The 16823-nt window shown below is 34.4% G+C and overlaps 1 long non-coding RNA gene across 1 annotated transcript in view; it reads left to right on the forward strand.

The window, feature by feature from the left end:
* The first annotated feature begins 1985 nt into the window (after nt 1-1985).
* Nucleotides 1986-16823, forward strand: part of LINC02267 (long intergenic non-protein coding RNA 2267) — a 507713-nt gene continuing 492875 nt past the window's right edge. The window contains exon 1 of the long non-coding RNA NR_147149.1: nt 1986-2077. This is a non-coding gene — a long non-coding RNA (long intergenic non-protein coding RNA 2267). The remainder of the gene's footprint in view (nt 2078-16823) is intronic.

The following is a 16823-nucleotide window of genomic DNA, read 5'->3' on the forward strand; positions in this document are numbered from 1 at the left end:
GGCCACTGTCCTCCACACCCCAGAATGGTAGATCCACTGAAAGCTTGCACTGTGCACCTGGAGAAGCTGCAGACACTCAGTGCCAGCCCATGAAAGCATCCAGGTGGGAGGCTGTACCCTGAAAAGCCACAAGGGCAGAGCTGACCAAGATCATGGGAACTGACCTCTTGCATCAGCATGACCTGGATGTGAGGCACAGAGTTAAATGAGATCATTTTCGATCTTTAAGATTTGGCTGCCCTGCTGGATTTCAGACTTTCATGTGGCCTGTAGCCCCTTTGTTTTGCCAATTTATCCCATTTTGATTAGCTGTATTTATCCAATGCCTGTACCTGATTGTATCTAGGAAGTAACTAACTTGCTTCTGATTTTACAGGCTCATAGATGGAAGGGACTTGCCTTGTCTTCGATGAAGCTTTGGATTGTAGACTTTTGAGTAAATGCTGAAATGAGTTGAGACTTCGGGAGATTGTTGGGAAGTCATGATTGGTTTTGAAATGTGAGGATGTGAGACCTGGGAGGGGCCAGAGGTGGAATAATATGGTTTGGCTGTATCTCCACCCAAATCTGATCTTGAATTCTCATGTGTTGTGGAAGGGACCCAGTGGGAGATAACTGAGTCAGGGGGGATGTATTTCCCATTCCGTTCACTTGATAGTGAATAAGTCTCATGAGATCTGATGGTTTAATAAAGAGGAGTTTCCCTGCGTGAGCTTTCTCTCTCTTTGCCTGCTGCCATCCATGTGAGACGTGACTTCTTCCTCCCTGCCTTCTGCCATGATTGTGAGGCCTCCCCAGCCATGTGGAACTCTAAGTCTATTAACCTCTTTCTTTTGTAAATTGCCCAATCTCGAGTATGTCTTTATCAGCAGCCTGAGAACAGTCTAATACAGTCTCTTAATGAGTTTACCCTTTACCACGCTAATTTACCTTAGTTTTCTCACTTGTAAAATAGGAAATTATAACAGAACTCATAAACATTAAATTGGCTGAAATATTCAAGAAGGCAGATGGACACATAGGAAAGTCTTGGTAAAGAGCAAGTGTTATAACTTTTATTTTACTATGTAGCACACCCTTTTATCCAAAGTGTTTTGCTGCAAACCCCAAACCAAGTGCCTGAGTTTCCAACAAAAGAGAAAACCAGGCTCCTTCATGTGCACTCAGAACAGGATATATCTTATGATCAAGGAGCACAATACTTTCCTTAGGATCTCAGCAGGTAAATTTTTGTCATTCCCAATAAGAAGTCAAGCAGTTATATATATGTATATATATATGTGTATATATATATATTTGTAGCCACAGCCATAGCCTATAATCAAACAAAACTGCTTCTTCCAATTTCTGGCTACAGTTTCAATATTTAAGAAAATAAAAAATAGACAAACAGATGGAAATTTTAGCAGCCATTTTCTAAACAACATTTTAGTGACTTTATAATAATCATATAGCTACATTATATTATTAAACTTGATGATACTAGGTTATTTTATTCATGTTATTTTTATATTTTCCCCTTACTGACACTTAATATTTATTACATATTGACAATCTTCTAAGTACTAAAACATTATTTCATTTAATAATCATAAAACCAAACATGCTATTGTGTTATTACAAACTGCAGAATAGGAAACCGGGACCCTGAGGAGTTTAAGTAAATTCTCCAGAGTCAGAAAGGTAATAATTATGACCATATTTTTATATGCCTGTTGTACTTATCTTGGGAGAAAATATGACATTGGAAAAGAATTGAAATTATATAATTATTGTTTTTTCTTTTAATTGACGATACGACATTATTTACATATTGACTTTTGTCTAAAGAAAGAGGACATTATTGTAGTTTTGAAAATATGGGTTGCCTTTTATAGTTGTACCATAGTTTTGATAGCTCAATTTCACTTACAGATACATTTAACGCCACTAGATACAAAGTAAAAACTTTGTCTATTATCTGCTGAATGTGTCATTTCCCACAGGTGCTAAGAACGCTCAAGCCATGGAGAGAGATGCATTTGGAGTTGTTTACATTCAGACAAAGCTCATCTGGTTGTTTGCAGCTAGTCACAAGGTAAGCAGGGGCGTGCATGCGCACACACACACACACGTGAATTATATATTTCAAAATAAATTGGAATTACATAAATTAAAAAATAAATATTTTAAAATATGATTTTTAAATGTAGTATGGCTGTATATTCATCAGTAGCACCACTGACTAATACCCAGGAAAATGAATCTGCAGAAAAGTCCACAAATCTACACTTTAAACAAATACATAAACTTTATAAAATTGCATGTAGGGTCATATGTTTCAGGGAGGGGGATACGGGATATAGGGCTGATATAAAGAAGAGGAAATATAAAAAAATGCTGATCAGCGTTAATTAAAGTCTACAATATACTTGCTGTTTCACATAGCCTGTCTAATTTAGTATTCTAGCAACCCTATTACATAATCCATTTAACAGATAAAGAAGGTGATGCTAATAGATGTTAAATACTTATAGCTACATGAAATGTGAGGATAGAAATTTAACTTGATAGAATAAAAGATCAATAATAATAAGATGACAGAGGGATTGCTAATTGATGGTTTGATTCCTTTCTCTTTGCTTTCTCTGATACTTTTAAGTTTAGCACTTATTTGTTAAATTTCTTGATGTTCAAGTAAATTGAGTAAAGTTTGTTGTAAATATTTCAGAAAAATCTACTATTTTATTTCCATGTCAACAATCTTTATTTCAGACCCTACAAATTAAAATATAAATTTTAATAAATGAGTATTTATAAATATTTTGATAACTTAGGGGTTTACCTATCACAAATGTAAATCCATAAAGTGAAACCCATTATATTTACATAATATGCAAGTTTAGCAAAATGTGAAATATGAGATTTGAAAACCAAAGTAAGTGGTAATAGGAAAACATTCATGATATTATTCAATTGAAGAAAAACTTCATGAAGAATAAAAAGTTCATGATTTATTCATTAAAAGAATCACTTAATGCAAAAAAGGGTTCTTCCAGGTGTGTGTACTTGCGTGAAGGAAGGCACATGTTTCAGTAGAAGGGCAGTAAGTAGGTACTAAAATATTAGATGATAATCATTAAAAGATGGTTAGTGATGTTCCTGTTCTGAAATTTATTGAGTGAATGATTAACAAGCTGATATTTTTGCCCATTTGACTGTCTGGAAAATACAGTTTTTAAACAGATTTTCAGTTTTATAATGTAATTTCTGGGAATTAGTCCCAGAATGCTATATTATCAGATACATGCTTCTTATTTTTTAAATTTTTTGTTAGATAAATATAAACCTATTTCTAAAATACAAGGTATATCAACTGAAAACAAAGTCTTATATTGAAATGTGTGCTGGGGAGGGCTTCATTTTTATTTGTGTGCTACACATGATTTGTTGGCACTGCAGGCTAACAATACGCACATAATCCCAGAGCCCCTGTGGAATAAATTGGCATGTAGCATAGGCTGGTGATAATCACGCCTGACATGTGCTTCCAGGTATTTGGCGTCTGAATGTACTGTGTGCATTTGTCAGCTAGACAAACATAGTCACAGTTTGGGATGGAGGAAACTAAGAACAGTAAAACATTTTAAACTTCAAGAAATTACCTGACATTTGCATTTTCGACAGAACAAATTTCCCTTTAAATCAATCAGTAGGCATTGGAATCTTGGTTTCACTTTCCCCTGTTCCTTTTTTGGGCTTTATCCAATTTCATTTTTAAGGAAACTACAGCATTAGTGCTCTTTATTTGCTTCCCAGATCTGTATGCTGAAGAGTTAGTAGCAACTCCTGGTGACATAAGTTCTTTGGTTCTAGCCAACTTTGAGCTGTTTTTTTAATCTGAAAATAATCTACTATAAATAAGTAAATGAATGAATGAATGAAATAATAGATGAAGCTGAGATTATTATAAGCCTTGCTTTATATTATATAAGGGCTAATTGTGTCAACCAGTGCCCTTTCTGATACAGCATTCTGGTAACCTTCATTACATTTCTTATAGATGGATTTCTTTTTTATTTCTGTTTTCCAGTATGAAATCATTTCTTTTAATAATATTCCCTGCCATTAACTTGTAGCCATGTTTCAAGTTTTCTTCTCTATAAACAACTAATGCCAAGTCCACTTTTGACTGCATTCAGTATTAATTGCCTTTTCAATTTATTCTAGTAATATTATGAATGTGTGCTTGAATTCCTACTTCTAGGACACATCACAAAATTTTTCTATGGGCAATAAAACTATTTCTTGTAAAACAATATTCTTTTATGGTATTGCACAAAGTGCATGAAAAATTCATGAGTTGATCATTGAAGATATGTATCTATAAGTTAAAAAATAGTTGAAGTACTCTTGAAGATCATTGCTCATTCTGCCAAGAAAAGGCCATTATTACGAACATTTTAGGCTACATGATAGGAACCATTTCTATTAGCCTCAGCTAAAGGCTTTTTCAGGTGTCTGTTTTTCTAGATTGCTGAATGTAATGCAAGAGTGGTATTTTTATTGCCTCAAGACCTAAGTATAGTCAGTTAATAATTTATCACTATTATCTTAGGTTAATAATGGGGATAATATCTCCTGCAAAGTTTTACAGTATTACATTTGAAAGCAGAAGACTTTCTGTGGAAAGCATTTTCCTCATATAGAAGCAGCACAAATGTTACTGGGTATACATCATTTATATATTTTAAAAGGTACTAGTATTATGTAGACATGGAACTCTATAAGATCACTTAGTAGGTTAGAGACTTTTATATAATTTTTGAGAGATTTTTTGGAAATTTAAAGTAATTTACTCTTTTCCTAAAAAGAAATTGTAATTTCTTTTAAAACATCCAGAAAATTAATATGCTAAAATGAAAAGATAAGATTACCCATACATCTCCATTCTGAGAATCCACCTTAACTTTGTGTTTACACTTAGCAGAATTGTTTAATGTATCTGTATGCATACATTTTTAATTTTAATAAAATTAAAGTAATACTTCATATGCTATTTTAATTTATCTCAGTGATATAATGTTAATACATTAAAGCATTTTCATGATAGTATTTTCCATGTCAGTGTAAAGTTCCATCCTAATAACTTAATCTTTCAAACCTCAGTGTTATGACTTGAAGATTATTCATATATTTTCCACTATCACAAATAATATTACATTAAAAATTCTTATGGCAAAACATTTGTATACATCCTTAATTACTTTTTAGGATTATTACTAAAAATGGAGTTGCTAGGTATTAATAGAAATGTGCCAGGTACACTTCTTTATGTACTAAGAGTTTAACATCTATTATCTCCAAGTGGAGTGTGCTGTTTATATTAAATATGAGGCATCTAAGGCAGATTGAGTTTAAGTCACTTGACCAAGATTGCCCAGCTGTTATATTAAGTGATCTCAGTCTATGTTCTATGATATACAACAGAGTATGTATAATCCTTTTTAACTTAATATTGCTAAATTATTTCCAAGTTACACAAGGACAGTGTATCTTAAGTAGCAACGAATGAACATTACTTTTCTATGAAGTTTGCATTGATCCTTTAAGAATTCACAAAACACAGTATGCTATCCTGACAATATGGTTCTACTAACTGACAAGGAGTAAGCTTGACTAGTTGATGCCCTACCATATTTAAGTTTGCAAGATTTGATAGTCCATTCAGCAGACATTGATATTTCTATTTCAATTAGGAATTGAAATTGAATTTTGGATTAACAAATTCTTGGTGTTACTGTAAGATTCGTTTTAGGTTGTAAGGACTATTGCATTGGGTAGGCTGATATGACCATAACAGGAACTTTTTCTCCTAACCTACTCATGTAATTTCACATGTGCTCAGCCTAAGGATGTGTATGCCTGTATCACGTTGTCTGCTTCCACCTGTCTAATTTCTTCAATTACTTAACTAAAGTGAAAGGAATGCCCAGAAGAGGTGTATTATAATGAGCTTGCTTCATTAACCTTGAATTTCTGGCATAATTCATTTTTGGAAAGAAGATGGAAAGAAGCATATCAGTCTAACTTCATATGACTTGTAATCAATACTAGAGATTCCTGTGTAGCATTAATACCAAGAAGCCAAAACAAGATTGATATTAATTTATATACTTCAGTCATTGGCTTGAAGAAAAATTTAAAAGCATAGGATTATCCACGAGCCTGTTATGACTTGAAATCATTCCAGAATCTATCATATAAAATAACCAGCAATTTAGTATTCTGGTATTTGATATCAATAACATTTTAAAATACCTTATGCAAAAGACTTACTCTAGTAATTTGAGAAGTTGAACAAAGAAAAATACCAAATATTTTTATAGCCAAAAATAAAAGCAAACTAAAAATTCTAGTTATCGGGGAAAATAATGAATAGGGTTAGGTTTTCAGAAAAAAAAAGCTATCCATGAAACAAAATGATACCTCCAAATAAATACATCTGCATTCAAAACACAGTATCTGGACTGTTTTAGAAGTAGATCCCTACCTCTTCCTTAAAATATGATTTAGTTTTATTCTGAGGATGATTTTGTGTGTGGGATAACCCAGATTCATGTACCATTTCAGGACTGTGATATTATAGAATGATAGTTCCAACTTTCAAAGATGTAAACTCATTGTTCCATAAAGAATTTTGTAAATTTCTAAAAAATGTGACTTTCAGTTACTGTCATACTTATTACTTTTTTTTATTCACTTTTTCATCTCCTAAATGAAATTGAGAATAATAGAAGTGGATTATTTTGTATTCTCGTTTCCTGTAGAGCAATTAAACAGAACTGCAATATATTTTATGGTAGTTCTTTAGAAAAGTAAAAAATAATAACAGGAATATAGCAATTATATTATTTCATATTTGCAGCGTACTGAATATTCAAATTACCAAAACCATTGAAACAGGTATAAAAATGTGGATTCAATTAATGCAAAATACCCTGTGATTTTTTTATCTACAAATTGTGAAAAACAAATTCTTGCTTTTGCTGGTCAGTTTACATGCTAAACCACAATTTCAAATGGCTCCTTACTTTGGTAAGCAGACTCTACGTCAATTCTGCAAGTCCTCACTTTAAACTGAATGGATGCTATGTTCAATCTTTTGCCTCTATGTGGGAACAAGCCAGACCAGAATGTTGGCTCTGAATTTGACCTGCAGAGCAAGCACCGTTGCTGCCTTTCCCAGATTCCCCTGAGAATTGATCCACCCATTCCTCAGCTGCTAAGTGCTGGCTGCTGGCAGCCCACAGCTGTCCTTTCCCCTAAGTATTGCCCTTGGCTGATAGGAACTGTCCAGCACAGAAATATTGGGGAAACAGTGCTTCTCTTCCACCTTGCAGGCAGCCTTAATGACTTACTGCCAACCGTGAGAAAAAGACTGGTCCCTTGCTTCCAGATGGGAAGCAAGTTGAGTGGTACCATTTCCACTCCTGTATTCTCTGGAATATGAGGCTGAGGCCATACTTTACCTGCATCTCCACCTGTGCTTAGCTTCCCCCTGACCTATTTTTCTTCCCTCACTTTTTACAGGTGTCATCCCAAACCACTTCAATACATCACTTGCACAAAAATGCATTTCTGAGACTCTGCTTGTAGTGAACCTGATCTAAGACAATCTGGTATCTTTACTGGAAAAAAAAATCAGTGTCAGCATAGAAATTAACTTTTTGTAGTGTAAAGGTAAGGAAGTTCCACAGGATTATAATTTGTGCACTCATTTAAAGTGAGAATTTTTAAAATGAGTTCAGCATACTGGTTTATTACTTAGTGCTAGTCTGCATTTTAAATCAGTATTGTGGCTAATAAAAAAATGAAATTTCTTTCCTAGTATAATTTCACATAAATGCATTTTTTACCTTTAGAAACAAAGTTTATTTTTTCCCTACCTTAAAGGTAAAGGAATTTAAGACTACTGAATACACTTTCCAATTTTCTGGAGAATGTGCATAGTTTAGTTAGAATTAACAATGAATATGAAGAAAATCCAAATTGTTTCGTAGGCATGCCGGGTTGTCTCAGTGTTTTTCTTTACTTAAATGATATTGACGGGTGTCCTTATTGAAGAGGAAATAAGTATGTGCTTGGAGCCTCACAGACAACCATTCATCATTCTCTTATGCAAAAGACAGAACCCGTGTGCCAGCACACAAAATCCAATGGCAGCCACAGTAGCAGAAAATCAATAGACTGTATTAGAAAACTCAGAGGCTAATCAGAGCCCAATCTGCAGGCATGATGTACTCTAAAAGAAGCATTGCTTTAGGACATAACTCAACTCTCTGAACACCAAAGACTGCAGCTTAATTCAAGCATTTAGGGGGAAAATGATGGTCTTTAAAAATACACATTTTGTTCTTTATTGCCTCCCAGAGAAGCTTCAGTGTAGTACTCTAATGAATGATGATAATATACATTCTTAAAAACTGATGTTAGCTCAGTCGTTATGCCCAAATAGAATGAGTGTCCCTGCTGTGTGAAGCAATGAGATGTCATTAGTAAGCAGCATCTTCGCTAAATGCAGGATGCATATTGTTACTTGTTAAACGCACTATTAATATCTATAAAGGTAAATGACAATTGGTCCTCTCCTTTCATTTGCTGTGAGGTATTTTACCTGATCTTGAACTCTAAGTGAAGATACATACCCAAATTGAAGTTAGTTGTGTGACAAATTTCAAATGAGTTGCACTTTATAATGAAAATGCATTTAGGTTAAATTACTCAAAAATACCAGGCTCTGAACAATATCTGAATATGTTATACTAGTATATGTTTTCCCTCTTGGGAACTCAAAGAACTTTAGAATATATTATACTATAGCTTTTCTAAAGTTTTTCTAAACTAATTAGAACATATACTTTATTTAAGTATTTTTTGCCATTCTGGAAATATGCATTTATGCATGGATTATATCATCAATATAGGTTCATAACATCATATACACCTTTTCTTCTATTTGTATTATTAACATTTTTAAGTCATCAACAAGTCTCCAATAGTAGGTTAGCTTTTTTGATAAATGTGTAATATATAAACATGATTCCAAATTGCATGTAACAAACTCATGCTTCAATATTAAAGGGACATTTGTATTTTTAATAAACCTCTGATTTTATCTTGTTAATAACTTGAATTTAGATATTGCATAAATATATACACTTATTGTAGTAGATGAAATGTCAAGGTCAATTTGATTGTAATAATCCTAAAAAAATGAAAGTAACATCATGAAAAATGACGCCCTGCTTGGAAACAAAAGCTAATTAAGATTTTTTTAATGCCCCGGAGAGAGAAATGTACAGAGAGTAGTCACAGTTGGTTTAAGATTGGCAACTCTGTCGGATGTGACAGCACATTCAGCTCGTCCCACGCAGACACAATCCGGCATCTGGGATGATAATTATTAGACTTCAGAACACTTCTTGGAAATTTTCCATGTATTAGAGTGCTTGCAAAGCAGCCCTTCTGGAACTATCATAGTTTTATATATTACTAAGTGCCTTATCAATATTTATTTTTCACCTTTCTTATGAATTATAGCTATTCCGATATGCTAAAAGTACTATAGATTTAACAAAGTAATATTTTTTTAAATGTGTAAATGTTTTTGTTTTCCTTTTAAAATCAAATCCTGTAATTTACAATGCAAAATTTAAAATTCTGAACGCATTGCCTTGGTGAGATAATGCTCATGAAAAAGCTCTCATAAATAAAATAAGCTAAAGGGGTTAGTTTTAGCATAAACTTTAAAAATATTTTACCTTTTTTTAACCACTTAGCAAATTTGAGATGTCTTCTTTATAAAGGTTTTTAAAATAAAATTTTAGATATATTTACATATATAGCATCCCAATACAATATTCATAACAAAAACTGTATTTGATAAGTAATTTTTAAGCTAAATAAGAAAAGACAAATTCGAAGCTTCAATGAATATTTTCTGATGGATTCCACTAAACACAGAAATGGTTGATTTTATTTTCTTTGCTATCTGAGAGCTAATATAATTTATTTAGACAGGCAGTGAACAGGTCCTGTCACTGTATGATTTGGAGTAAGTTCCTTCAGCGTGCTCATCTGCTAAATGGTACGATTAGTACCGCATTCCTTATAAGAATGCTATAAAAAATAAATGGCACAACATATATAAAGCATTTTAGACAGTATCTGGTACTACTTAAATTGTTAGTACTGTTGTTACTATCAGCATTATATTATTAAGATTGCTATTACCTTAATGAGAAAATTTGACATAATGGAAGTTTGTAGGACTCTGAAACAAACATATCTGGTTCTGAATTGATCCAATCCCCTCGAAGTTATTTGATCCTGGAGAAGTACACTGATCTTTTAGTGCCCCATTTTTCTACTCTACTACCCAACAAGTCAGATTGTTGTTAAAAACATGGTGTTTAAAAATCCTTGCCGGCTGGGCACGGCCCTCACGCCTTGCCTGTAATCCCAGCACTTTGGGAGGCCGAGGTGGGTGGATCACCTGAGGTCAGGGGTTAGAGACCAGCCTGGCCAACCTGGTGAAACCCCATCTCTACTAAAAAGAACAAAAATTAGCTGGGCGTGGTGGCAAGTGCCTATAATCCCAGCTACTCTGGAGGCTGAGGCAGGAAAATCGCTTCAATCTGGGAGGTGGAGGTTGCAGCGAGCCGATTTTGCCATTGCACTCCAGCCTGGGCAAGAGTGAGACTCTGTCTAAAAAAAAAAAAAAATCCTAACCTATAGCAAGTTCTTGATAAATGATGTTTTTTAGTTAGAGGAAATGGCTTAGGGACTTTATTGGTTTCTTTCTTTTCTTTCCTTTTTTGTTTTGTTTTGTTTTGAGACAGGGTCCTACTCTGTTACCCACTCTCCACCCAGTGGAGTGGCACAATCACAGCTCATTGAAGCCTCAATCTCCCCTGGCTCCATTGATCCTCCTGTCTCAGGCTCCCAAGTAGCTGGAATTACAGGCAAACACCACCATTCTCTACTAATTTTTGTGTTTTTTGTAGAGACAGTGTTTCTCCATGTTGCCAAGGCTGGTCTCGAAATTCTAGTCTCCAGCAATCCACCCACCTCAGCCTTCCAAGTGCTGGGATTACAGGAACGAGACACTGTGCCTGTTTTTTTAATGTATAAAAATACTATACACAAAATATATTTTCCAGGCTTTGTACTTGCATCTTCTGTCCTTTGTGGTGAAATAAACCATGTAGTATATTTTTATTATTTATATGTATTTTTTCAAAATACAATTGCTTTTCTTGTTCAATGAATTATTTCCTTCACTCAAACAGTGTTCACAAGAGGCAATGATGATTTTTGCTTAGAGTATTTCTCCAAGTATGCACATGCTGTTTCATAGTTAAAATACAAGCTTTGGCATTCTTTTGCATGCTTAGATATGTCTAACTTGCATGACATGATTCAACTTATTAATTTTATATAAAAGGATATTAAATGTCAGAGAAACTAACTTGCTTAGGAAATAATAACTACCTTCAAATAAACTACCAGCATTCTAATCTTTGTAAAAAATGTAAATATGCATGCACACATATATTCATATATCCTAGTGATTATGGCCTTATACATATTAACTTTAAAATAGTTACTATGTAAGCAAAAGTACAGACGCATATAACAGATAAAATTTGAAGTAATTTTAAGATATAAATTTAATGGTTCTGAATTCCTAATCACAAATGACTTTCTGCTGATTGCCTCATAATCACCCTTGTATTATTAGTGTAGTTCTCACTTTTTTCCAGGCACTGCAATACAATCTTTGGATAAATAATTACATGCAATTTTCTCCTCAAAATGAACTCACTTTTTCCTTTCTTTAAACTTATTCCTTGGCCTGAATTCTACATTTCCAGCTACCAGTAAGATGCTTTCATCTAGTTGTCTATCAGGCACATAGAAATCAAACTATCTATGGCTAGGGCCACAGAGTAATGGGGATTATACAAAGCTTAATTCAACTTGTAGAATTTGAAGAAATTTTATTGACTGTAAACATCTTACTAGACACATTTCTGACCAAATAAAACACATTTTTAAAATGCATCTGTGCTTTCATATGAAGATATGTTCTCAAATCTTCTTCCAATTCTATTCTCTCACATTGCATAAAATTCATGCCTTACAGTCTTTAGCAATGAGGTAGTCTTAGCTTATGATATCCATAGTTTCCATATTGTTTAATGTCCTAGAAATCTGCAAATATACTTAAATATGTTACTGAAAATCTTTTAGATACAAGTAATAATACCAAACAAAATTTTCTGGCTTCTATAACTGGGAAGTCTATCGTCCATAGTTTAGGCACTGCTGAATTCATGAAATTAATAATGTCAAGGCTATGTTTCTCTCGTGCTTAAACTCTCTGTCCACATGCTTGGTGAAAAGGCTACTGGCAGAACCCAACTCACATCCTAATAGCCTATCAATGCCAGTGGGAAAATGGCATTCTATTTTAGTGGAAAAATGCCCTTGGAAGAACTCTGATTGGTCTAATTTTGTCACAAGTATTTGTTGAGCAAGTGAATCTCTTTCTCTTTTCTGTATCAGTTACTGTAGCCATGGGTTTATACACCTTGACTTGCCAAGCCTGCAAAATGGGCACAAGACTGTGAATGGGGAGTACTAGTTTCAGTTGTATTTGAAGACAAAAGAGCAAGTTCCACAAAGATGAATGGTTCTGCTAATTAGAAGAAAAAAGAAAAGAAATGATGTTAAACGTACCAAGAGATAGATATAAAAATTATGAGATCTCCTGATAATAACTTACATGCTGGTGTTTCCTCCTAGTATCAAGAATCCATGTAGCAAAAATTCTAATTTACATGGATCTTATGCACCAAACAAGAGAAAATCTGGTTCCTTAAGAGAGTCATGAAAATGTAGAATGTTGTAGTTGATATTCTGAAGCATTTAATTATAAAAAATAATCTACCATGTAAACAGCTATTTTTTCAGAGTATCACCCAAGTGTGTGTATTTAAACAATATGTTCTTTAAAAAGATTGATATAGCTTTTATGATTATTTTTAGCATACAGACCCCCATCCATTTTTTAGTTTTTTATAATTCATCTGTTGATAAACTTAGACTATTTGATATGAAAAATTTTATACAGTCTGGATTCTGTATGCATAGTATGGTTTAAAATTTTCCTTTTTCCTCTCTCTGTATTTTAAGCAAATTGGCAGCTGGGTATAGAGGCCTGATGAGACTCATGTCCAAACCTCTGGAAAGGTTATAAATGGTGGTATGTTTTTTTTCAACTACAGACAATGTCTAGTTTTCTCTCGTTTTTATTTATGCTCAATGCCTAGATCCATTAACTCACTGGGGTGACTGCATGGTGATATTATCTTCTATCATTTCTTGATCATTTGTTAGATGATATACTTTTTCAAATTGGATCTCAATAATTCATACGGTGATATACGGACAGACACCATAGAGCTGGGAACAACAAACTTCTAGATTCTGTTATACATTTCCCTCATTTATTATTTGGATACCCAGTGATATAGTTATTAAGGAAATAGCAAGATTTATGCTTTATTATTTTTCTAGATTTACCAGTATTTGAAATAATAAACTTGATCCCTATTATGATGATCAGTTTATGTGTTATATTAGGGTAAACAGTTTCTCAATAAACACTTATCTAATCCTTACTGTGAAGGTATTTTGGAAATGTGACTATAATCCATAATCAATGACTAAGTAAGGGACTTTACCAAAGTCAATCAGTTGAAAGGCCTTGGAAATAGATGTAGGCTTCCTTGAAGAAGAAAAAAGTCTGCCTATGGAGATCAGCTTCCACTCGTGACCAATAGTTCTAGCCTGCCCTCTCCAACAACCAGCCTTAGATATTTTAGAATGGCTTTGCAATACCCCACAATTGTATAAGCCAAAATAATATATGTTCAACACAGAAACAGAACCAGTTTCTGTTTATGTATAATTATTTATTATAAATAATAGATATAGGTATATATATAAAACTGGTCATGTTATATATATATCAGAATATTCAACATAATATTATATCATATATATTCAACATAATATATTTTTGTTGAATATATATCATATATTCAACATATAACATATTGAATATATTATATGTTATTAATATATATTATTTATGTATAATATATTCAATATATTATATTGTATACATACAACTGGTTCTGTTTCTCTGTTAAAAAAAATATATATATATGTGCTGTTTCCTACTTCTGGTACCAGCATTTATATTAGTCAGGATTCAACAGAGGTTATGAATATTAATAAATTAAGGATTAAGGAATATTACGGATTATGTTTTCTGAATAGGTTCTGGGTTTTATTGAATTGCTACTCTAATCTGATTAGATCTAAAGGTACTAATGCCTCTATTTTCAGTGGTAAAGAGGGCACTGGTCATCCATGACATGATGTGGCAATAGAAATATTACCTTTGCATACCCCCAATCAAATACATATAGAAGAGAAGTCACTGGGTGACAATGTATTAATAGTTGATACTTTATAGTAGTCAAGTTGAAGAGTATAATGATATGAGATGGCTGGTCCTCATAGCACTGGAAAAAGTAGGGGGAGATAAGGATGCGCTCATGATGTCAAATTCCCATCTCAAGCTGAGTTTGAATGACCTGAAAGCTTCTATATTTTCCTTGAAAGAAACCTTTATGTTTTGTAATCATAGGACTGAGATTTTAGAAAACCAAACTCAAGACTGTCTCTTGAAGGGTGGGATTACAAAGCAAATTGAATTCCTTACCTCCCAGGGTGTCTTCTGTTAAAGTAGGGATATTCTCGGGCACGGTGGCTCATGTCTGTATTCCCAACACTTTGGGAGGTCAAGGTGGGCAGATCACGAGGTCAGGAGTTTGAGACCAGCCTGACTAACATGGTGAAACCCCGTCTCTACTAAAAATAGAAAATTTAGCTGGGTGTGGTGGTGTGCACCTGTAATCCCAGCAACTCAGGAGGTTGAGGCAGGAGAATCACTTGAACCCAAGGGGCGGAGGATGCAGTGAGCCAAGATCATGCCACCGCACTCCAGCCTGGGTGACAGAAAGGCATTTCTTATGTGGCAGTGGCAAGAGAAAATGAAGAAGAAGCAAAAGCGGAAACCCCTGATAAACCCATCAGACCTTGTGAGACTCATTCCTCATTCACTATCATGAGAATAGTATGGGAAAGACTTGCCCCCATGATTCAATTACCTCCCCCTGAGTCCCTCCCACAACACGTGGGAATCCTGGGAGATACAATTCAAGTTGAGATTTGGCAGGGGCACAGCTAAACCATATTACCTTTCTGAGTTAATCGCCTTGCAAGCCACTGTTGATTCTAGACAAGTGCTACTCCAGTCTCCCCTCTTCGTTCTAGAATCATAATTAGACTAGGTTTTAGTAGGCTCCAAAGGGTACGGTACAAAGTGTAACCCATGAATAGATGTTCCACACACTAAAAGAACGGCATGATTATTCTGAATTTATACAGGCAGAAATCTGAAGAACATGTATGGGTATAGATCATAAGGGTGTGGATAGTGAGGGAAAGAACATAAAGTTAGATTAGGCCTAATTGATTAATAAAGGCCCACTAAGCAGAGATTCTGGACAGTGTTTTTACTCAAGGTATTGGGAATGGCTATAACAATTTTTTGGCTTATTGGCTAAAATATGGACCCAAAGAGAGCTCTACTAAAAGAAGCTGAAATGTCAGAAATGATTTGGAATACTATAGAGTAGGATATCCAGAGGGCTTAGAGAGATTGGAATGTTAGTGTAGATTAATCATGTCAAGAAATGTTCATCTACACTAGGAGGGTTCATAGAACACACCTTTCACTGCAAATGGGAGAAATAAATTTTTGAGGGAAGGCCCAGAATCCTGGATTACTCTTCTATGCCAATCATAAATTCAAGTGTAAAATGCTACCATCAAACTGGCAACCCTAAATGCAAAGGGGAAAATGGGATTCTGGAGTGGAAGGGGCTAAGTGTTGATACTTGGTTGCCCAAGAACGGGTAGTTGTAGTTACCCTAGCAGAGAGCAGAGCCAAAGCAATCCAGAAACCTATAGCCTTGGCTAGTTGATCACGGAGTCCTTAGAAAGGTAATAAATAGTTTGACGGTCAACTAAATCCTTACTTGATTCATGTAAGCAGAAGAGTTTTTAGTTGAGTGAACAGACGTCTAACTTGAATCACCAGAACAGAGTCTCTGCCTCTCGATCAATTCCCAGACTTATGCCAGTTTATAGATAAGAACCCCTTGAATGTAGGGTTCTTCATTCAAGGATTCTTCATGCTTTCCTTGAGGAAAGACCCTGCTACACAGCCAAAATTGTACTGTTTATCTTAGCCTGCCCCCAAAGTGAGTTATGGCCATTTAGCAGGGTTACTGTACATTGAGAGAAAGGAAAGTATCATACTTTTCAGGAATTACTTGACATTGACCTTGAACTGGCACTAGTTCCAGAAGACACAAAATGTCACTATGGTCTATCAGTTGGAGTAAGGACTTAACAGAGGTCAGATGATCAATGGAGTTTTAGCCAAAGTTCATCTCACAGTGGACTCAGCATGTCCCTGACCCCTTACTGTGGTAATTTCCCCATTTCCAGAATGCATAATTGGAAAAGACATGTTCAGCAACTGTAGAATACCCACATTGTTGTTCTGACCTGTGGAGTGAGGGTTATTATGGTGGGAACCCCAAGCAGAAGTTACTTGAACTAACTTTTCTTGT

This window comes from Homo sapiens, chromosome 4 (assembly GCF_000001405.40).
Source record: "Homo sapiens chromosome 4, GRCh38.p14 Primary Assembly".
Taxonomy (NCBI): Eukaryota; Metazoa; Chordata; class Mammalia; order Primates; family Hominidae; genus Homo; species Homo sapiens.